Source organism: Homo sapiens, chromosome 9 (assembly GCF_000001405.40).
Source record: "Homo sapiens chromosome 9, GRCh38.p14 Primary Assembly".
NCBI classification, from domain to species: domain Eukaryota; kingdom Metazoa; phylum Chordata; class Mammalia; order Primates; family Hominidae; genus Homo; species Homo sapiens.
This window is the reverse complement of record NC_000009.12, coordinates 76,274,069-76,297,293: the sequence shown is the minus strand read 5'-3', so window position 1 is coordinate 76,297,293 and position 23,225 is coordinate 76,274,069. Positions and strand designations below refer to the sequence as shown.

Below are 23,225 nucleotides of genomic sequence, written 5' to 3'. Positions count from 1 at the left end.
AAAGCCTACCCTACAGGTAAAATTTTCCTTTACTGTAAAAAGGACATGTAATAAGGACGTAGGACATGCCTGTGATAGAAGTGACTCCGAAATTTCTGAGAAAATGATACCAGGGCCATTTCCCTCCGTGACTCTCTTCACTTGCTTCCGGGCCTGCTTCACCCAGGTAGAAACTCAAGCAGGTAGACTAATTATAAATTGCCCTTTGGGCTCTCTCTGCTGGCTGAATGCCAACCTCAGCTTCCTACCCACTCCTACTGCAAGCATCAGAGAGACTCAGGAACGATCCCAACTTGATTCTCACTCCAAACTCTTGTTTTTCTGCACAGCCTTTCTCTCCTGGATAACTAAAAAAACCAGAGTTATAGAAGGAGGGAAGCAGAGTAGGTCGCTAGACCCCTGTGACCTCTTTTTTGGGGGGCACATACCATTCCAGAATTTGCCCTCCTCCTGGGTCTTGGTGGCATGCACGCACATCCCACGCAGCAGCTGCAGTCCTTCCTGGCAGCTGCTGCACTCGTCATGACCAGGGCCTGTGCAGGTTTCGCATGCTCGGTGGCAGGACTCACATTCTCCCATTTCTTGGTCACCATAGAATCCAGGACCACATTTCCTCACACAACTGCCACCTATGTGAGAACACAGAGAGAAAGCATGAAGGCTTTAGTGATCTTTGCAAGGCCAAGTTCTAAAGAGGCTGGAGGAAATTTTAGGGACATTTTTCTTTGCATTTGTTTTTATTATTATTTTTGAGATGGAGTCTCTCTCTGTTGCCCAGGCTAAAGTGCAGTGGCATGATCTCGGCTCACTGCATCCTCCACCTCCCGGGTTCAAGCAATTCTCCTGCCTCAGCCTCTTGAGTGACCGGGACTACAGGTATGTGTCACCACGCACGGCTTATATATTTTTAGTAGAGATGGGGTTTCACCATGTTGGCCAGGCCACTGTGTCCAGCCTTTGCATTTGTTTTCAAAGAAACCAAGATGGCTTTAGCTTATGTCAACCAAGAAATGTGTTTTAATAAATCCAGGTCGGGCGAGGTGGCTCATGCTTGTAATCCCAGCACTTTGGGAGGCTGAGGTGGGTGGATCACCTGAGGTCAGGTGTTCGAGGCCAGCCTGGCCAACAGAGGTTGCAGTGAGCTGAGATTGCGCCACTGCACTCCAACCTGGGTGACAAGAGTGAGACTCCATCTAAAAAAATCCAACACTTTACCTAAGTCCTTTTTCAACTGGGAATTTACATTGGCCATTAGAGGGTTAAGAGCATCGAATACAGAATCCTTGAGGCCTTGAAAAATTACAAATAAAATAAATCTCTGTGTAGAGAAACACTGAAGATCATTGTGGGCTGTCCTTCTCATTCTTTCTCCCCCAAACACTCAAGTGCATTGGGCTATTATCCTCTTCAGCTGGAAGAGTCACACTGTATTTCTTTCCTAACTATCCATTTCCATCAGTCAGTGAGTTGACCAAAGCCTAAGGCAAGGGATCTTGTTAGATTCTTACAGTGCATGGGGATATATAAGATGGATTAAGTCTCAAGACAAGGGTCAGAGCTCTCAATATGCCAGGTGACTTCAATGCCAAAACATTCATCTTCAGGTCCCCACTCTCTATCTCCATCCAATTCAGCCTTGTTTCCATCAGCTTGGAGATATTTGAGATTAATTAGTGGAACAGGAACCATGCTTCAGTAATAAAAGCAGAAGGAGGTGGTTTGGCTAATGTTTATTTCTAAACCAAATTAAAATTTCTCCTTGGGCCAGAGGTGCCCACACGCACAGACTCTGAAACCAATCACATGTGCGCTCCTGTGGCCCCGACTGTGTGGAGCTCCAGTGCCTGGTTCTTAGCTTGGATGGTGCCATTTTCTAACTTACCTAAGAGAAAGAAGCCCTCTTCACACCAGTAACACCCATTCTGGTCACAGCTGCCACAGTTACTATCACACGCCTTGCATTCCACTTCCTCACTGTAGGTCTTCTCAGGACAGGTTTTATAACAATGGTGATCAAACCTAGAGGAAGAAGACATCATTTCTTTCATGACTTATGTTGATGTATTTCTCTTCACCATAATTTAATCTCCTTATGTATGTCTATGCAGAGTTTTTTGTTTCGTTTTGTTTTGTTTTGTTTGAGATGGAGTTTTGCTCTTGTCGCCCAGGCTGGAGTGCAGTGGTCGATCTCGGCTCACTGCAACTTCTGTCTCCCGGGCTCAAGTGATTCTCTTGCCTCAGCCTCCCGAGTAGCTGGGATTACAGGTGCACACCACCATGCCTGGCTAATTTTTGTATTTTTTTCCAGAGAGGGGGTTTTGCCATGTTGCCCAGGCTGGTCTCAAACTCCTGGCCTCAGGGGATCTGCCCACCTCTGCCTCCCAAAGTGTTGGAATTACAGGCATGAGCCACCACGCCCAGCCTGTGCAGCATTTTCAACAGGAGTGGATAATTGAATTTCAGGCTTGGTCTGTTATGCACCCCTCAACCCAAGTCACTAACCACCTCCTTCTGGACCTCCAAGGACTCTTTATCAGGGCAGCTGGGAGAAGGCTGGGGAGAAAGAAGGGGTACTGATACTTATTTATAGAGTACTGATTATGTGTCAAGTATTAGCTCATCTAAATCTCCACAAATCTCGTATGGTAGATATCATGTATCTTTAATTTCTAGATAAGGGAACTGGAGCTCAGGGTTAAGTGCTCAAAAATCACAGAGCTAGCTAACGGTGGGACTGGGATTTTAACCAAAGTCTGTGTGAAAAGGTTGCTTGTGTGATTTATCACATAGCAACTGGCACTGAGGCCTGAAATAGCTTGGTGTCGAGTCCAGGCAGCTTACTAAAATGTCTGTAACCAGATTATTAACAATAGTAGCGAAGTAGCTTAGCTTTTATTTATAAATATTTTTATGTACGTTATCTGTTATTCTCATTCTACAGTAAAATGTTGTAATTCAGACTCCACTGAATTGCAGGCTTACCTGAAGGAGGAGTGGAGTGAAATTGACCCCTGCCTTTGATGAATTTCAGAGCATCAGCATGATATCAGGGGAAACCTTTGCATATCTTCCTTAACAACTGTTTTTTTTTTTTTTTTTGAGACTAAATCTCCCTGTCACTGAGGCTGGAGTGCAATGGCATGATCTTGGCTCACTGCCACCTCCACCTCCTGGGTTCAAGTGATTCTCTTGCCTCAGCTTCCTGAGTAGCTGGAACTACAGATGCATGCCACCACACTCGGCTAATTTTTGTATTTTTAGTAGAGACGGGGTTTCCCCAGGTTGGCTAGGCTGGTCCCAAACTCCTGACCTCAGGTGATCCACCCACCTTGGCCTCCCAAAGTGTTGGGATTACAGGCGTGAGCCAACACGCCCAGCAACAATGTCTATTGTAAGGCATTTCACTCGCTGTATTCAAAGTTGCTGAATGTTTTCAAAGATTATATATGTTTGTTTCTTGAAATAAATATCTCATGTTGTACCCTTAGTGATATTGGAGCATGTTCTTCCAGGGTATTTGTTTTTCAGAGGGTTTTATGAAACATGCTCATTAGCGAGTAGTGGAGAGCTGAAGAGGCGGCCAGGTTTGGCTCCAACGTTTAACAGAGGATGTTTGACAAAGTTTAACAGAGCCTGGCCAACATGGCGAAACCCTGTCTCTGCTAAAAATACAAAAACTAGCTGGGCGTGGTGGTGTGCACCTATAATCCCAGCTACTAGGGAGGCTGAGGCACAAGAATCACTTGAACTTGGGAGGCAGAGGTTGCAGTGAGCTGACATCGTGCCACTGCACTCCAGCCTGGGCCACAGAGTGAGACTGTCTTAAAAACAAACAAACAAAAAAAACCCAAAAAAACAAAGTGGGTCAGGAGTGCAGTGATGTGAGACATAGTCAATGTAGAGAATGGCAGGCTATTCTGGAAAAGTTAGATTAAAACCGTAAGGCTAAGAACTGATAAGGTTAACTGATCATTTTTAGTATGTTTCAGCTTGTTGGGCTTCCCTTTCTCTCCCATCCTCCACACTCCTTTTACTTTTTCTTACCTATTACCACATTTCAAGTGTATTTGTTTTTGGACAGGTGGGTCGCCTTCTCTTGTCACCACATTGCTTTGTCCAATTCTATGGATGGAGGGAAAAGGCAATGTGACAAGAGGAGGTGACCCGCCAAAGGCCAAATGTCGCAAATGTAGACCTGTCAGTAGCTGTGGTGCAACTGGAGTAAAACCTTGCCCCTCTCTGAGCTTCAGTTTTCTCTTCAGGAGATTAACATCCTCCTGTGTCTCTGACAATCTCAATAAAATGATCGAGAGATGAAATAGTCGTGAGAGTTTGTATATCACAAAACTCCTGAGTTCTTAGGAGGACAGGGAGGGATTATGCAGCCCATGCATCACCCACGGACTTCCTTTCCTTTGCAGCTCCTTTCTCTTTCATTTTCCTTCTAGGACGGTCAACAGTGTGTGCTGGAAGGGAAGCTAGACTAGGAAGAGGGGGCGATATTGAAACATGCCATTTTTGATTTTGTGGATTGTTTTTAGAGTACATTGGGAGTGATGGTTACCTCTGTTTCATTTAACCTAGTGGTCTGTGTCTCTTGTTACCTAGGGGATGACTAAGAGCTGATATAGCACCTGGCTTCACCCTGGAGCCTTCGCTCTGGTTAAGGACGCAGTATCCATGCAGACGTTTGCAAACAGCTTACTTAGGACCAGGTATATTATTAAGGTCTGCCCAAGAACAGCAAGATCTGAATCTTGGTAACCCATGGCAGGATTCCTAGACACCAGTGTCAGGCTGGATGACTTCCAGGATCAAGAAAGAGATGGCCTCCTTTCGAGGCAAGGAAACAGCTGGGCTCTTATTGCTAAATCCAAGAATTGCTCATTAATAGCCTGACAGGACAGAGTTGCTTCGGGCTGCAGGGCCACTTTGCTTTAATCGCTGGATTGAGGATTATGTCAGTAATGCTTAAACTGCAGAAAAGTTAGTGCCATGAAAAGGAAGACCAGACTTACCTGTAATACCCCATAGCGCAAGATGTACATGTTCCTGGATCATCTGGAAAAAAAAAATAATAAAAAGTAATAATCATGAGGAATTCGTCATTTGGAAAAATAGGGTCTGAAAGCTGTAGCTTGAGATAAACAATCCTGTGGGATAGTTTCATGAAATGTACTGTCCAGAAATAATATTTGAACAGATTGTACTGTTTTTAATTAGCAACAAGATGTACACTAGGATTTATCTTTATCAAAGGTAGTAAGAATTCTCATAAACACTTGGCCCTGACTTTCAAGGAGGAATAGGTTCAAGCTACTGGGTCTTCGAATTAAAGATCAACGACCATCCACATTAAGAACCCCCTGGCCTTTACTGAGATAGAGGGATCAACCAAGTCCACACACAAATATTTGGAAGGGGCTACAAGCTTCTGACCCTGAATAGAGGGTTTTCCATCAGTTACCCAAGAATCTTGCCAATGGAAGTGAGCATCATTTGGGGCACTCCTTCGAAATCTGCACAATTATTTTTCCCAAGTATCCACTTCATGTTACGCCCTTCGCAACTTTCTTAAAAAAACTGTCTTGTTCTCATTAAGAGTAATGATTCAATGCATCCCTGCTGGCTCACAGAAGGGTTCTTTCCTGCAGCTTTCAGGGGACTTAAAGAGAGAGAAAAGATTTTGAGAGTCATCATCTCAGCCTATTTCTCTCCCTCCTAACACTTCCCAGAAGATGCAACTCTCAGATCTAGCTATTAAGAGAATTCGGTGACTTCCTCTGGCCTGCAGTTCTTGCACATAACAGAGCTACCTCTGGCAGGTTCTTTCTGTGATCTAACCTACCTTCCAGTCTTGCTCTTCTTATTTTAATAGGAGATGAAAGACAACTGTTCCTCCTTAAAACGTTCCTCTTGGTATGTGAAAATTTTATGTCACCTTTAATTAACAAAATAAAACTATATCATTTGAACTTTGTGCATAGCTTTCCTTTCTAATCTATTCTGCCCTCTTCTGGTTTTTTCAGACTGCCCTTAGGAGGTAGACACAACCTCACTCAAATCTTTAGTCACACGTTCATCTTGGGTCCTAGGGAGGCTACCAAATGATATTCCTGTGTACTACACATAATACAACTAATGCATTGCACTAAATGTTAAGTGGGAAAATTTCTAGCAAAGGCTCTGCTAATTAAAGCAGGGATCTGCAGAACCTTCTGGAAATAGCTTGATGATGGTGCAGTAGAAACAGTGCTGGCCTGGAAGTTGAGCTTCCTGTTTGAAGTTTCAACTCAGGCTTAATTATCTTGTGAACTTGCACAAATGTCACCTACTTTCTGGGTCCTGGTTTCTGCGGGTGTAAAATGAGCTGGTTGGACAAGATGGTTGTTAAGACTTCTGGAAAGTCACAGATTCTGAAGTTGAGCCTAGCAGGAGTTGGCAACTATGGCCCACTCCAGGACCTTGACCTTGCCATCTATTTGTATGTATTGTGTAAGAATGCTTTCATGCTATATAACCAGAGTTGAGTAATTGCAAGAGACCAAAGATATTTACTCCCTGCCACTTCACAGAATTTGCCGTCCCCTGACTATAGCACTATTAGCTCATGACTTGGTCATGCTCATCTTTGCTAGGGGACACAGGTGTCTGTAATTGTCTTAACAGCTGGTTTCAGAGTTCCTCTTAGGAAAAGAACTGTCTATATTTAGGAAACTACCTTGTTAAGCTCCTTGGGGTAGAGGTTTAATTGGAAGAGTTGAACAAGAGCCAAGACAGCCAAAGAGATAGAAGGGCCCTTCTGCAGGAAGCTGTTATCTGCTCATGGGAGGGAAATGGTTTTTAATGTCTGGGTCAACATGGTTTGTAATACGGTGACTAAGACAGGACAGTGAAATGAACCAAAAACCAGGCTAATTAGGTGGAACCAGGAAGTGAAGCTAGAGGTGACCATGGGAAAGAAAAGCTCCCTGGCATTCTTAGAAATCTTGGGAAAGACCAATTCATAGGCTGGGGATCTGAACCCATTGTAAGGGCCAGCAGAGGCCCCAGTGAACACCAGTGGTTCCCCTGGACTAGTTCATTTTCCATTACGTGTCTATTTTTGCATCCATATTCTTTTCAGTTTCTAAATAACCTCCAACCACTCAGCTTATATTTGGGCAGCTTACTTTACTCTGCCTCCCTAATGAACATATTTGACTCTAACAGTTTTGCTAATTTGGCAAGGGCTGGGGAAATTCTAATCCTGTTCTTTAATGTTCTGGTCATCCCTCCCATCTAGGAACTTAATGAGCTTGCTCTCTGCTCCTTTAAGCAGGTCACTGATGAAAATGTTAAACAGAACCAAGCCTCAGAATTGTGCATACCAATGCCATCTTGAGTTCAGGGACTTTTCCAGCCCAGTTGCACAGTGAATTTGGTACCTTTACAACAGTTTGCATAAATGAATAATGCATAGAACAGGAACTGTGCCTTATACAGCTTATGAATGCTCATTAGTTTTTCTCATTATTAGCAGTTGTTCTGAAGAATGAGAATTATTTAAAAAATTGTTTCCACCCCAGAAGATCCACAAGTCAGACATAAGCTAAATGGATTTAGCTTGACCACTGAGAGGCTGCTGTTATGAGATTAAGGAAGAAGGTAACAATCCCAAATCTAGAAGTTGACTCTAAGTCAGCTTGGCATTTAGATGGTGAGGAGGGGTGGCTTAAGGAGAAAGATGAATTTTCCTGGCTTCTAGTGTGTGTGTGTGTGTGTGTGTGTGTGTGTATGTTGCGTGTGTGTGTGTGTGTGTGTGTGTGTGTGTGTGTGTGTGTGGTGAGGGGAATGGGAAGGGAGTCTTAAACAAGCTACAATTGTTAGCTGTCTTGGAAGGTGTTATCCAAAGAAGGATGTTTAAATAGCTCGGGTGATTTGATTTTGTCAAACTTTTGAGCTGAGAGAGCATATTTTGGGGAGAGATGGGGAAAGTTCAGTCAGAATTCAGAGAGAGCCTCACACATTTGGAAAAAAGTCTTCAGAAACAGTGGCTGGCTTCCAGCTGCTCATATCTTTCCTAAGGAGAACATGCGAGCAGATGCCTCGTCAGGACGGGGATGCCGTCTTTCTGTCTTGAGAAAAGTCATTTTTATTGTCTCATTTGTATGGGGTGGGGTGGGCCGGACTACAAAGTCCGCTCTCTCTTGAGAGCTCTTCATGATCCCCTGTGTCACCTTCCCACTGTGTCTTTGGGGATCATCTGTACTGTCACTCATCACGAACTCACTGTCCCATGGAGACATTGCCTCCTGCTTCAACATCGCCTTCAGCAGCCAATTTACATTCTATGCCATTTTATTTTGTTCTCAGTAATAACGATCACCTTCACCATTGAATTTGGATGGATGAGGGCCACAGTGGGAGCTGTGCACATCATACCTATAAGATGTATTGGAAAGGAGATATTTTAAACTTGAACGTCTAGAGAAGAAGAATTTATTTTTATGGTTTACATAAACTCGGTGTCCCATAATTCAGGATACATACAAGTGGAGGGTGAGCATAACCATGGCAACCCCATGCAGACTGTGAAAGGGTCCTGGCCTCTTACTGCTCTGTGAGAAATAAAATGTCGGCACAAGTCAGCAAGCTGGCATTTCATGAAGACAAAATGTCACAATTACAGGGTGAGACTGGCTGCCCTGGCCATGCTGGCTGTCTGAAGAGACCAGGTCTCCCTATGGTATCCAGGCTGGTATCAAACCCCTGATCCCAAGTGATCCTTCTGCCTTGGCTTCCCAAAGTGCTGAGATTACAGGGAAGTTACTTTGTCACTGGAAAAAGATACTTGTGAAGAAACTGGACTTCCAGCTTCCAGGTTATGTATCTCAGTATTCTAGCAGAAAAGCATGAATTTAAGATGGGGTCTCCCTGTGTTGCCCTGGTGGTTTTGAACTCCTGACCTCAAGCAATCCTCCTGCCTCAGGCTACCAAAGCCCTGGTATTACAGGCCAGTCCTTGGAGAGACCAGGAAATCCAGAGTTTTCTCCAAGAATGGGGATTCCTGAGAAGTGAGTTTCACCTTGAATCAAGAAAGGAGAATCACATACTGTCAAAGCAATTGTCCGGAGCATCAAGAACAGGGGAACAAAGAAGAGCTGGGCTTGACAGGATCATGGTGTCTCTCTCCCACCTAAAACCTACCACTACCTCAAGACCCCCTCGAGATGGTGACCTGTCTTGGTTTCAACACCTTAAACAGGAAACACTGGGAAAATGCATACTTCTCCATTCTGTATCAGACATGTCTTAGAGGAAACCCATTATATCTGAATGACCAAAGAAAAGTATGAGAAAAATGAGAAATCTGTGCCAGGCCATTCACAATGTTTTGCTGGTGCCCTGGGGCCCACATGCATTTCAAGAAAAATAAAGTATGTCGAACCTGCAGAAGCCTGAAGTATGTCTGTCAGACCTGCCTCTTAGACCTGGAGCATGGCCTGCCCACCTAGGTTTGTGATGCTGCGTTGTCTTTAAAAGAGGACATGCTGGCCGGGCGCGGTGGCTCATGCCTGTAATCCCAGCACTTTGGGAGGCTGAGGCGGGCAGATCAAAAGGTCAGGAGATCGAGACCAGCCTGGCTAACATGATGAAACCCCGTCTCTACTAAAAATACAAAACATTAGCCGGGTGTGGTGGTAGGTGCCTGTAGTCCCAGCTACTCAGGAGGCTGAGGCAGGAGAATGGCATGTACCCGGGAGGTAGAGCTTGCAGTGAGCTGAGACTGTGTCACTGCACTCCAGCCTGGGCGACAGAGTGAGACTCCATCTCAAAAAAACAACAAAAAAAAGATGACATGCCAAAGTCAGATGTCAGAGAAGAGAAGAGTACTACACGCAGAATGTGGAGAGAGGGATTTCTAACTCGAATGGAAGACAGCCAGTTGGCCTGCTGGGGAAAGCCACATCCACCAGTGACATGCTAGACAAACTGGCCTGGACCATACCCTATTACCTAAAGAATAAGCCCCACATTTGCTCCTTCTGGGTGAAGGGAGAGGGTAAGAGAGGAGAGGAGTTTCGATAGAGACATGAGAAGCCTACAGGTCCACATGATTCCCTTGCTGATCAGATATTAAAAACTGATATTATATAGTCAACGACCGTGTAGCAGATAAGCTTCTATAGTAGGCTTCAGCCACGCCTCATCTGGAACTCCCAGAGGATAAGACTATCCCCACACTAGACACCGGTGATCCGGGTGATACCATTACTGAGACAGATCTTAAGAAATAATCTCTACCTATTTAGAGAGATCTGGACAATCCCTGTTGTGCAGAGACAGCGGTGTGCTTTCATCCAGGTTTCCACAGGGCAGGCTGCACAAGTGGCTGTAGAGAAGTCCTTTAATAAGTTAATCACCAATGGCTGCAGACTAAGTGTAAAATGGGGAAGATCCCAGGCAGCCAGAGGAAAGGAAAATGACAGAACCCCAGACCCGGGGATCCAGCTAGAGCTGATTCCAGTACTGCCGGGAGCTCTTCCTCCTTCTGCAGCAGCAGATGCATCTGCCAATGACTTCAACCTACCTCCAAGTGCTCCTACAGCTGTGGTGAACATTGCCTTGCCATGTTCAACTGCTATTGCCCTGTCCCCACCCCTGCTATTGCTCTGCCCCTACCTCCAGGATTTGAGACACACATGTTCCACTCAATAGGACCACCTTCCCCTTTCAAGAGGACTCCAGGATCCATCCACTGTCTTTCTCAGGACCCTCAGAGATGGAGCTCATGCCAGAAAACACAGCAGGCCCTAGCACATTATCACACCCCTGGCTGTATGAAAGAAAGGACACTTAAATATCCCAATCAATGAATCTTGGAATAAGTATTTTTTTTCTTCCTTTGTGGTTTCCATGGTATCTGAATGTGTTCAGATGTGGGCAGGTGAGAAACAATGGCCATGCTTTTCTACACATATTCAAAGGATTGATGGACCTCAGATAAGCTGCCATTAAAACATCTGGCTACTAATATCACATGACAAGTAAAATCTAATGCCTGTCTTCTTCATTTCTGTGAATGACAAGAAGCTGGGTGAATTGCAATATACAGCAGAATTACCAACCCAATCATATGTTCACTTTGTCTCTGTTTATGGGGGGAAAAATGACCTGCAGGAAAAAAACCTTTTGAACACATTTATGTCCACTGGGTATATTGTATTTTATAATCTCCAAAAGGTTACTAGTACTAATTTTTGTAGTGGTGTAAGTGTGATTTAACTGTTTTAAATTCACATTATCAGAAAGACAAATAGAACCCAGTAATCATCGCAGCCCAGATCTTTTCTTTCCTCTTTTTTTCTCATTTATTACCAAAGAAATTTAATAGTTCACTATCTAAAAAAGACGAAAATGAAATGTCTTTGTATTCCATTCAAAAAAAGAGGAACATACTAGCTAAAATGCTTCTAACTTTATTTTTTTTTTCTAATTTTATTATTCTCTTCACATGTTTATTTTTCTTTTGGGGGAGACAGAAGAAACTCAATGTCTTAAGGATAGCCTTTTATCATAGAATGTCTATATCTGCCAGAATTGGCCATGAAGTAGACACTATGTTTAGGCAGAATCAACCCTCCGCAAAACTGGTGGTGGGGGGGTAATTTTAGGGTGCTCCTATCTTATCTTTGGCTATCTCATTCAAGCTTCTAGGACTTTCATTCATACCCCATGCAAGCCAGACTCCCCCCCTACCACTTGCTATTGAAACCTATCTGTCCTGTGTCCTGTTACTGCAAGAACCTACTAGGTTACTGGCTAGGATGACAGACGAATGGGCATGGCAAATATGTGCTCTTGGGAGACTCCTAGGCTCTCACCTCTCTCACTCTCTTCTCAAGTGTTCTAGACTCCTTAGGTTCCTTCCACTTTGACTCTCTTAGGCTACATCTGCAAATGTTCCATAAAACATTACCCATTTGATTGTAGTTTAGCATACCCTGGATACTTGCTTCTCCCAGACAATCTCAACCTTTTGGCCCAGTCACCTTCTCTGGTCTACTCATCTATATCTTATGCTCTACCAAACTAGGGGCTCCATTCACTTCCCAGGATTCAGGTTGGCCAATATCTCCCACACTTAGGCCAAGTATTAGACCAAAGTCATGCTCCAGCCATACTTCATAGAACTTCCAGCATCAGCCACTCTCCAATCTCAATCAACAACAGAAATCTAAAGTTCTAAGCTCCATACTGTTTTGATTAATCACTCATTGGCTTAAAAAATTAGTATGTTAGAAAATATAACATTTATACACGTTATGCTCACCCTCCACTTGCATGCTAATATATGTGTGTGTATAAATTATTATTCATTATTATTTATTATGTACTAGTGCATGAATGTATTAGTGCATTTTCATACTGCTATGAAGAAATACCTGAGACTGGGTAATTTAAAAGAAAAAGAGGTTTGGCCAGGCGCAGTGGCTCAAGCCTGTAATCCCAGCACTTTGGGAGGCTGAGGCTGGTGGATCACCTGACGTCGGGAGTTTGAGACCAACCTGACCAACATGGAGAAACTCTGTCTCTACTAAAAATACAAAATTAGCTGGGCATGCTGGCACATGTCTGTAATCCCAGCTACTTGGGAGGTTGAGGCAGGAGAATCACTTGAACCCAGGAGGCGGAGGTTGCAGTGAGCTGAGATCGCGCCATTGCACTCCAGCCTGAGCAAGAAGAGCGAAACTCTGCCTCAAAAAAAAAAAAAAGACAAAAAAAAAAAAAAGGGTTTAATGGACTCACAGTTCCATGTGGCTGAGGAGGCCTCACAATCATGGTGGAAGGTGAAGGAGAAGCAAAGACATGTCTTACATGGTGGCAGGCAAGAGAGTGTGTGCGGGGTATCTGTCCTTTATAAAACCATCAGATCTCATGAAACTTATTCACTATCATGAGAACAGCATGGGAAAAACCTGCCCCCATGATTCAGTTACCCCCCACCGGGTCCCTCCCTTGACATGTGGGGATTATGGGAGCTACAATTCAAGATGAGATTTGGGTGAGGACACAGCCAAACCATATCAATGAATATTTCACATACATTAAAGAGATGTGCTAGAGTAGAACATTTAAGATTGAAGAGGTTAACATAAAAATCATGAACATAAGTTCTTTTTTTTTTTTCTTTTGCAGCCTAAATAAATTATTTTTCCTACCTCTTTCTGGAGACCAGTGACCCAGGCCACACCTAACCAAATGCTACATCTGAGCTAATAAATTCATATTTAACCTTGTCAAAACATGTTGAGTTTGGTTCCTTAAGATTGTAACCAGAAGAAATGGCTCTCTGACTCGCATGTACATAAGGAATCTCCTGCACTTGGCTTCCAGCCCTTCTTTATAGACGGACTATTTGATTCTAATTAACTTGTTTACCTAGCATTTTGGGGTCAGGAGATAAGTGGAAATATAGATGTGAATGAAAATGTTTGAATGATATGATTAGATTCCATTTTTTCAACCTCTTCACCACCTTCTGTAGCTTTAGTACATAAATTTATTCCCCGGAGCAAACTTTCTAGATCAAAATAATCATTGGTTATGCCTTAATAAAAAAGCATCTGTTGGGAATATATTTAAAATAGTATACTACAGGCATGCCTCAGAGATATTATGGGTTCAGTTCCAGACCACCTCAATGAAGTAAGTGTTACAATAAAGCAGGTCACACAAACTCTTTTGTTTCCCAGTGCATATAAAAGTAATACACTATACTGTAGTCTATTAAGTAAGCAATAGCATTATGTCTAAAAAATATACATACCTTAATTAGGAAATACTTTATTGCTAAAAAATGCTAATGATCATCTGAGCATTCAGATCCTTTTGCTGGTGGAGGGTCTTGCCTCGATATTGATGGCTGCTTGACTGATCAGGGTGGTGGTTTCTGAAGGTTGGGGTGGCTGTGGCAATTTTTTGAAACAATGAAGTTTACCACGTTGATTGACCCTCCTTTACATGAAAGATTTCTCTGTAGCATGTGATGCTGTTTGATAGCATTTTACCCACAGTAGAACTTCTTTGAAAATTCGAGTCAATCCTCTCAAATTCTGCTGCTACTTTATCAACTAAATTTATGTAATATTCTAAATCATTTGTTTTCATTTCAACAATGTTCACAGCATCTTCACCAGGAGAAGTTTCCATCTTGAAAAACCACTTTCTTTGCTCAACCATAAGAACCAATTTCTTGTCTGTTCAAATTTTATTGTGAGATTGTAGCAATTCAGTCACATCTTCAGGTTCCACTTCTAATTCTAGTTTTCTTACCATTTCCATCACCTCTGCAGTCACTTCCTCCACTGAAGTCTTGAAACTTCCCAGTCATTCATGAGGGTTAGAATCAACTTCTTCCAAACTGTTAATGTTACTATCTTGACCTCCTCCCATGAATCACAAATGATATCAAGAATGGTGAATCCCATGGACATGAAGACGAGAACAGACACTGGGGACTACTATGGGAGATGGGCAATGGCTGAAAAACTACCTATTGGGTACTATGCTCACTACCTGGGTGATGGGATCATTCATACCCCAAACCTCGGCATCACACAGCATACCCATGTAATAAATCTGCACATGTACCCACTGAATCAAAATAAAAGTTGAAATTATAAAAACATAAGATGGGTGCAGTGGCTCATACCTGTAATCCCAACACTTTGGGAGGCTGAGATGGAAGGATCACTTGAGCCCAGGAGTTTGAGATCAGCCTGGGCAACATAGGGAGACTCTATTTCTACAAAAAATAGATATCAGCTGGGCATATTGGCAAGTGCTTGTAGTCACAGCTACTCAGGAGGCTGAGGTGGGAGGATTGCGTTAGCCTCGGAGGTCAAGGCTGCAGTGAGTCAAGATTGCAAAAACCCTGTCTCGAAAAAAAAAAAAAGACAGAAGAAAAGGAAGAAAGAAAGAAAGAAAAAGAAAGAAAGAAAAAATTGGAAATAAAATAAAAAATTGGCCAGGCACAGTGGCACACACCTGTAGTCCTAGCTAGTCAGGAGGATGAGGTGGGAGGATCACTTGAGCCCAGGAGTTTGAGGCTGCAGTGAGCTATGATCACACCACTGTGCTCCAGCCTGGGCAACAGAGCGAAAAAAAAAAAAAAAAAAAAAAAAAAAGCAAAGAAAAGAATGGTGCACTCCAGCCTGGGCAACAGAGTGGGGAAAAAAAAAAAGAAAGAAAAAAATGGTGCATCCTTTCCAGGAAGTTTCAATTTACATTGCCCAGATACATCAGAGGAATCTCTACGGCAGCTATTGCCATACACAGTGTCTTTCTCAGTAAGACTTAGGCCAGGTGCAACGGCACAAGCCTGTAATACCAGCACTTTGGGAGGTTGAGGTGATTGGATTAGTTGAGCTCAGGAGTTCAAGACCAGCCTGGGCAACGTGGCAAAACCCCATCTCTATAAAAAATATGAAAATTAGCCTAGTGTGGTGGCATACACCTGTAGTTCTAGAAACCCAGGAGGCTGAGGTGGAAGAATTGCTTGAGCCCAGGAGGTGGAGGTTGCAGTGAGCCAAGAGTGTGCCACTGTACTCCAGCATGGGTGACAGAGTGGGACCCTGTTTCAAAATAATAATACTTGAAATTTGAAATTACTCTTCAATCCATGGGCTGCAGAATCAATGTCCTGTTAGCAGGTATGAAAACAACATTAATCTTGCACATCTCCATTGGAACTCTTAGGTGACCAGGTACATTGTCAATGAGCAGTAATAGTTTGAAAACTCTTTTGTCTGAGCAGTAGGTCTCCACCGTGGGCTTAAAATATTCAGTAACCATTCTGTAAACAGATGTGCTGAACCCGGCCTTGTTTCATTTATGGACCACAGGCAGAATGGATTTGGCATAATTCTTAAGGGCCTAGGATTTTCAGAATGATAAGTGAATACTGGCTTTAACTTAAAGTCACCAGCTGCATTAGTCCCTAATAAGAGAGTCAGCCTGTCCTTTGAGACTTTGAAGCCAGGCGTTGACTTCTCCTCTCTAGCTATGAAAGTCCTAGATGGCATGTTTTCCCAATGGAAGGCTGTTCCACCTAAACTGGAAATCTGTTGTTTGCTATATTAACCTCCATCAATGATCTTAGCTGAACCATTTGCTGCAGCTTCTGCATCATTACTTGCTGCTTCACCTCGCACTTTTATGTTATGGAGACAGCTTCTTTCCTTAAGCCTCATGAACTAACCTCTGCTAGCTTCCAACATTTCTTCTGTAGCTTCCTTACCTCTCTCAGCTTACATAAAATTGAAGAGAGTTAGGTCCTTGCTCTGGATTAGGCTTTGGCTTAAGGAAATGTTGTGGTTTGATTTTCTATCCAGACCACAAAAACTTTCTCCATATCAGCACTAAGGCTGTTTCTCTTTTTTATCATTTGTGTATTCACTGGAGTAGCACTTTTAATTTCCTTCAAGAACTTTTGCTTTGCATTCACAACTTGGCTGTTTGGTGCCAGAGACCTAGATTTCAGCCTATCTTTTTGTTTGGTTATTGTTTTTTTGAGACAGAGTCTGGCTCTGTCACTCAGGCTGGAGTGCAGTGGTGTGATCATGGCTTACTGCAGCCTGGTACTCCTGGGATCAAGCAATCCTCCCACCTCAGCCCACCATGTAGCTGGGACTACAGACCACCACATCTGGCTAATTGTTGTACTTTTAGTAGAGACGGGTTTTCCCCATGTTGCCCAGGCTGGTCTCTAATTCCTGGGCTCAAGCGATCCTCCTGCCTCGGCCTCCCAAAGTGCTGGGATTATAGGTGTGAGCCACCGTGTCCGGCCCTACCTTTGTTTTTGACTTGCCTTCCTCACTAAGCTTAATCAATTTTAAGCTTTTGATTTAAAGTGAGAGACTTGCAACTCTTCCTTTCATTTGAGCATGTAGATGCCACTGTAAAAGTATTAACTGGCCTCATTTCCATATTATTATATCTCAGGGAAGGTCTGATGAGAGGAAGAGATATAGGGAAATGCCGTCAGTGGAAAAGGCAGAACACACACATTTGTCAACTAAGTTCCATCTCACATGGTGGGGTTCATGGTGCCCCAAAACAATTATAATTGATCACTGATCACTGTGATCACCATAACAGATAAAATAATGATGAAAAGTTCAAAATATTGTGAGAATTACAAAAATGTGACACAGAGACACAAAGTGAGGATGTGCTATTGGAGGAGTGGTAGAGACAGGCTTGTGGCAGGGTTGCCACAAACCTGTAATTTGTAAAAAATGCAACATGTGCTAGGCATGGGCAAGGACTTCATGTCTAAAACACCAAAAGCAATGGCAACAAAAGACAAAATTGACAAATGGGATCTAATTAAACTAAAGAGCTTCTGCACAGCAAAAGAAACTACCATCAGAGTGAACAGGCAACCTACAAAATGGGAGAAAATTTTCGCAACCTACTCATCTGACAAAGGGCTAATATCCAGAATCTACAATGAACTCAAACAAATTTACAAGAAAAAAACAAACAACCCCATCAAAAAGTGGGCGAAGGACATGAACAGACACTTCTCAAAAGAAGACATTTATGCAGCCAAAAAACATGTGAAAAAATGCTCATCATCACTGGCCATCAGAGAAATGCAAATCAAAACCACAATGAGATATCATCTCACACCAGTTAGAATGGCAATCATTAAAAAGTCAGGAAACAACAGGTGCTGGAGAGGATGTGGAGAAACAGGAACATTTTTACACTGTTGGTGGGACTGTAAACTAGTTCAACCCTTGTGGAAGTCAGTGTGGCGATTCCTCAGGGATCTAGAACTAGAAATACCATTTGACCCAGCCATCCCATTACTGGGTATATACCCAAAGGACTATAAATCATGCTGCTGTAAAGACACATGCACACGTATGTTTATTGCGGCATTATTCACAATAGCAAAGACTTGGAACCAACCCAAATGCCCAACAATGATAGACTGGATTAAGAAAATGTGGCACATGTACACCATGGAATACTATGCAGCCATAAAAAATGATGAGTTCATGTCCTATGTAGGGACATGGATGAAATTGGAAATCATCATTCTCAGTAAACTATCGCAAGAACAAAAAACCAAACACCGCATATTCTCACTCATAGGTGGGAATTGAACAATGAGATCACATGGACACAGGAAGGGGAACATCACACTCTGGGGACTGTGGTGGGGTGGGGGGAGGGGGGAGGGATAGCATTGGGAGACATGCCTAATGCTAGATGACGAGTTAGTGGGTGCAGCGCACCAGCATGGCACATGTATACATATGTAACTAACCTGCACAATGTGCACATGTACCCTAAAACTTAAAGTATAATAAAAAAAATGCAACATGTGCAATGTACAATAAAGCAAAATGCAGTAAAATGAGATATGCCTGTTCACTTATATAAGATGGGCTAATAGACATTGAAATTTTGTTTCTCAAGAGTATTTAATGACACAGAAACATTTCATGATAGGCTATGTAAAAAATGATGATAATCCATCTCTATGTATATGGTAGGTAGATACCTACCTGTGTGGATGGATGGATGGATGGATAGATAGATAGATAGACAGATAGAGATGGCTTTATTGAAAATCAGAAGGCAAAAAGCTAAAATATTAATATTAATTTTTGCTTTACATATACATATATATGTTTCTATGCTTTTAAAATAAATGTGTGTTACAGAATTGGTTAAAACAAAAATGTTATTAAGGAAAAAAAAAAGCTCAGGTCCTGAGTTCTAGACATCATTTGGGTCATGTATTTGAAAACAGCATCCTCCCACAGATCTCCCATGAGGGAGCTTGTCATTTGGCTAAGCTCTTTACTTTTTTGTTCCTTTCTTTCCTGCCCACTCCTATTTTCTCATCTTCCCATTTTGTCTCCTGGCATTTCCTAATTCTACACCACCAGGACAGGACTGATGTTCTTCCGTGGGGTGTGGCTAAATGGTGGCAGATGTTTGTATAATCTCCTTGAAAAAGATTCACTTTTAAAACGAATTGTTTTTCTGATACAATTTTGCAAAGGAGGCCAATGAATACGAGATGGGGTTATTCTTGGCTCTCCTGAGACTCGTGGCTTTCAGTGGGGCCAAGCATTCTTAAACAAGTCTCTATATGAGCACCTGCAGCCTTGTTGGAGTAGCAGCAGCATGTCCACCCCTGTTGAGATGTCCTACTGCTCCCTTTGAGGAGAAAGACAGCATTATAAGCAGCCAATACTTGAATTGTTTTGAGAGATAATTAAGTAAATTGTCAATAATGCATATTCTCCCAGGGTAAATATATACTTACTTACTGAGCAACGCTGTACAAATTTGCAGGAGAGTCACTGACATTTTTCAGTCCACCCGAAGATAATGAACTGGGTAAAACATTTATATTCCCAAAGAGTGCAACTAATTATAAGCCCCAAATAACACTAAAAAGTACATAATTCAAATAGGTCTTGCACTTAGAATTGCCTCAAATAATTAACACTCGAATACAAAATGGATCCTCTGACAGTTTTGCCAAAGCTGATTTTTCTGGAAGGTTCAATGGTGCTGGGATACAAAGTATTTGGTTGGGGGTTTGCTAGTGATTTTCAATCATGTTGTCCTCATCGGTGCCCAGGGATAATGAATAAATGTTTGAATCGGCAGTAATGCAAATGGTGCAACTGACAGTGGGGCACAACTCCCTGGAGGGACAGGGTGGTAGAAGAGACTGGAATAAGTAATTGAAATTATTGTCTACAAATGTTGGCTAAAGAGGGTTCAGTCTTCTATTGGTCTCTAGTCTTTATCGAGTCCTCTAATTCCAGTGATGGAATATCATAATAGGCAAGCTGTTTGTGGATTTCCATGCTTCTCTAGACTGACTAGCAGGTAGAAGTGATGGATGAAAATATGCAGCAATTCCTATAGGGATCACTCACTAACGCTGTACATTCATTCACGTATTCATTTATTCTGAAGCCTTCATTCTTTGGGGGGAAGACATAATAAAAAGAAAAAATTAGATTATTATTATTATTGTTTTTGAGATGGAGTCTCACTCTGTCGCCCAGGCTGGAGTGCAGTGGCATGATCTCACTGCAACCTCCGGCTCCCAGATTCAGGCGATTCTCCTGCCTTAGACTCCCTAGTAGCTGGGACTACAGGTTTGTGCCACCACACCCACTAATTTTTTTTGTATTTTTTGTAGAGACAGGGTTTCACCATGTTGGCCAGGTTGGTCTCGAACTCTTGACCTCAGGTGATCCACCCGCCTTGGCCTCCCACAATGCTGGGATTATAGGAGTGAGCCACTGCACCCAGCCTAGATAATTATTAGAATGAAAACAAAGCATAAATTTTTGTTCAATAAATGCATGAAGCAAACAGTAAAACGCAAGCTTCATGAAGACAGGTTGTTCTGTTTTGTTTTCCTGTATCTCCAGTGCCAAGAACTGCTGGTATATAGCAGATGCTCCAGAAATATGCATTGGGTGAAGAAAACACATAAGTAAGTACGTAAATTCAGATAAAGGGTTAGAGAGTGATGAGACTGGGGTGGAGAGGAGAGGCCCTAATTTAGATGGGCTAGTGAGGCCGTGTCTTGCAAGAATTGACATCTGAGTAGAGATTCGAATGATAACAAAGAGCTAGCATGGGAGGTTCTGAGGGCAGGTGTTCCAGACAGAGGCCAGGGAAAGCTTGTCCCCTTCAAGGAACATCAAGAAGGCCAGTGGGGCTGGAAGAGATGGAGAGAAAGGGAGAGAGTCAGGAGGTGATGCCAGGGTCATAGGCAGGACAAGATCATATAGGATCTTATAGGCCAGGATAGGAGGTTTACATTCTAATCGAAGAGTAATGGGAGGGCATGAGAAGCTTCAGTAAAAATGACCTATGTGATCTGATTTATTTAAAATGATGACTGTGTCTACTGTGTGGTAATGGCTTATTTAACTGCAGAAACAGATACATCTATTAAATCTTGCTCAACTAGATTCTATGTAACACACTCAAGAAACTTTTATTTTATTTTATTTTTTTATTTATTTATATATTTTTAGGAATATCCTAGAGGAGAAATGATTAGGGATAAACTAAGACTGTGGGTGCAGTAACAGCAAAACTCAGATTTGAGAGAAAGTAAAGAAATAAAATTGAGAATATTAAATGATAAGATGTGTGGGGTGAGGGAATGGGATTACTCCGCGGCCTTGTCCAAGCACCTGGATGGATGGGAGAAGAGGAGCACCCAGCAGTGAAGTCGACTTAGAAGTAATAAACACTTAATTGATCCCACACTACAGTCCATCCACTGCTTTGGATACTGTAACGAGTATAGATGAGAAAGGCAGTCCCTACCTCAAGGAATTTGCAAATTGGCGAAGGGACAGTAATTAACAAAGCTAATTAGAGAGAAATCACAGTGTGGCGAATGATAGAATGGAGAAACCTCTAATGTAGTGTACCACAGAAATATTTTTTCAGGCTGAAAGAAGCCAAGTTATGATTCTCTCTCTTCTGTCTTCCCACATAATTAGTATTTCATCAGCCAGGCACAGTGGCTAATGCCTGGAATCCCAACATTTTGGGAGGCCGAGGCAGGTGGATCACTTGAGATCAGGAGTTTGAGGCCAGCCTGGCCAACATGGTGAAACCCTGTCTCTACTAAAAATACAAAAATTAGCCAGGTGTGGTGGTGCATGCCTGTAATCCTAGCTACTTAGGAGGCTGAGGCAGGAGAATCACTTGAATCCGAGAGGCGGAGGTTGCAGTAAGCCAAGATCATGCCACTGGACTCCAGCCTGGGTGACAGAAAGAGACTGCATCTGAAAAACAAACAAACAAAAAACCCCCAAAAAACCAAAGAAGCAAACAAACAAAAAATAGCTTTTTTAAAATCTTGCTTAATGGGCAAATTCAGAGCATTCTTATTATAGTTAGGGTTGTCAGATAAAATGCAGGGCTGGGATAGGAACACATGGATTGCAGTCTTAGTGAAGGATGGATGAAAAATAAACTTTTCAGGAGGAAGAGACAGGAAAAAATTATCTTGGTCTCATCCTTAGCATTGAGTAGTGCTATTTGACCATCCAAACCTCATGTTAAAATTTTATCTCCTCCCATTCAAATAGGTATAAAAACAATATTTTTAAAAAAAGGATAAATTTTTTTTTTATCTCCAATGTTAGAGGCAGGACCTAATGAGAGGTGTTTGGGTCATATGGGTGGATCCTTCATGCATGGGGTGGTGCTGTCCTCTTGGGAATGAGTGAGTTCTTGCTTTACTAATTCCCGTGAGAGTTCCTATGAGGGCTGCTTGTTCAAAAGAGCCTGGTGCCTCCCCTCCCCTTGCTTTCTCCCCCTTCCACCATGAGTGGAAGCAGCCTGGAGCCCTCGCTAGAAGCAGATGCTGGAGCCATGCTCTTGTACAGCCTGCAGAAGCATGAGCCAGATAAACCTCTATTCTTTCTACATTTCCTGGCCTCAGGTATTCTTTTATAGCAATACAAATGGACTAAGACAGGTAGATACAATAAAATAAAACAACAAAAAAACCCCTTTGAGAATGTGTAACCCTAAGCTAGATATCACATAGGTTTATAGTCATAATTCATGTTACTTGTGTGTTCTAGAACATCTCAAAAGGAAAATTCAGTTTCAAGTAGTTCCAGGTAAGTAATGCCTTAAGACCATTGACAGAAGGAAATGCAAATCTTCTCTTAAAAAATATAATCTTAACCCAGGCCTTAAAGTATTTTCATGGGTAAATTTTCAAGGAAAATGGTCACAGTTTAAAAACATAGACCACATAAGGAAATCAGTCACCATGAGAGAAAGTCAGCAGAAATAACACCAGAATCAAACCCACAGAGACTACAGATCTTGAAAGTAGCTGGTACAAAATATAAAATAACAAATATTTAAAATTTTTAAAGAAATAAAAAGAACATCTTAAAATATAAAATAACCGTGTGGTTTGTAAAACAACTACATATAACTTCTATAAGTGATAGACATAAAAATTAGAATCTAAAGCTCAGTGGATAGATTAAACAGTAGATTAGGCATAGCAGAAAAAGAATTAGGTAAACTCAAAGATAGATATAAAGAAAAGATAGAAGCTTCAACCCATAGAGGCAATAAAAGCTAAAAAACAGGAAAGGGTGGTTAAGAAACGTGGAGGTTAAAATGAGAAGGGCTAA

The 23,225-nt window shown here is 42.3% G+C and overlaps 1 protein-coding gene and 1 pseudogene across 5 annotated transcripts in view; one reads left to right on the top strand and one right to left on the bottom strand.

The window, feature by feature from the left end:
• PCSK5 (proprotein convertase subtilisin/kexin type 5) overlaps positions 1–23,225 on the bottom strand; it is a 473,167-nt gene that overhangs the window by 65,682 nt on the left and 384,260 nt on the right. For all 5 annotated transcript variants that reach the window (XM_047423454.1, NM_001372043.1, XM_011518769.4 and 2 more), the window contains 3 exons: positions 5,019–5,061; positions 1,883–2,019; positions 429–629 (listed from right to left, as the gene is read on the bottom strand). In XM_047423454.1, coding sequence (XP_047279410.1) covers positions 429–629; positions 1,883–2,019; positions 5,019–5,061 — 381 coding nt within the window. The remainder of the gene's footprint in view (positions 1–428; positions 630–1,882; positions 2,020–5,018; positions 5,062–23,225) is intronic.
• On the top strand, positions 9,146–11,426 carry RBM22P5 (RNA binding motif protein 22 pseudogene 5; annotated as a pseudogene).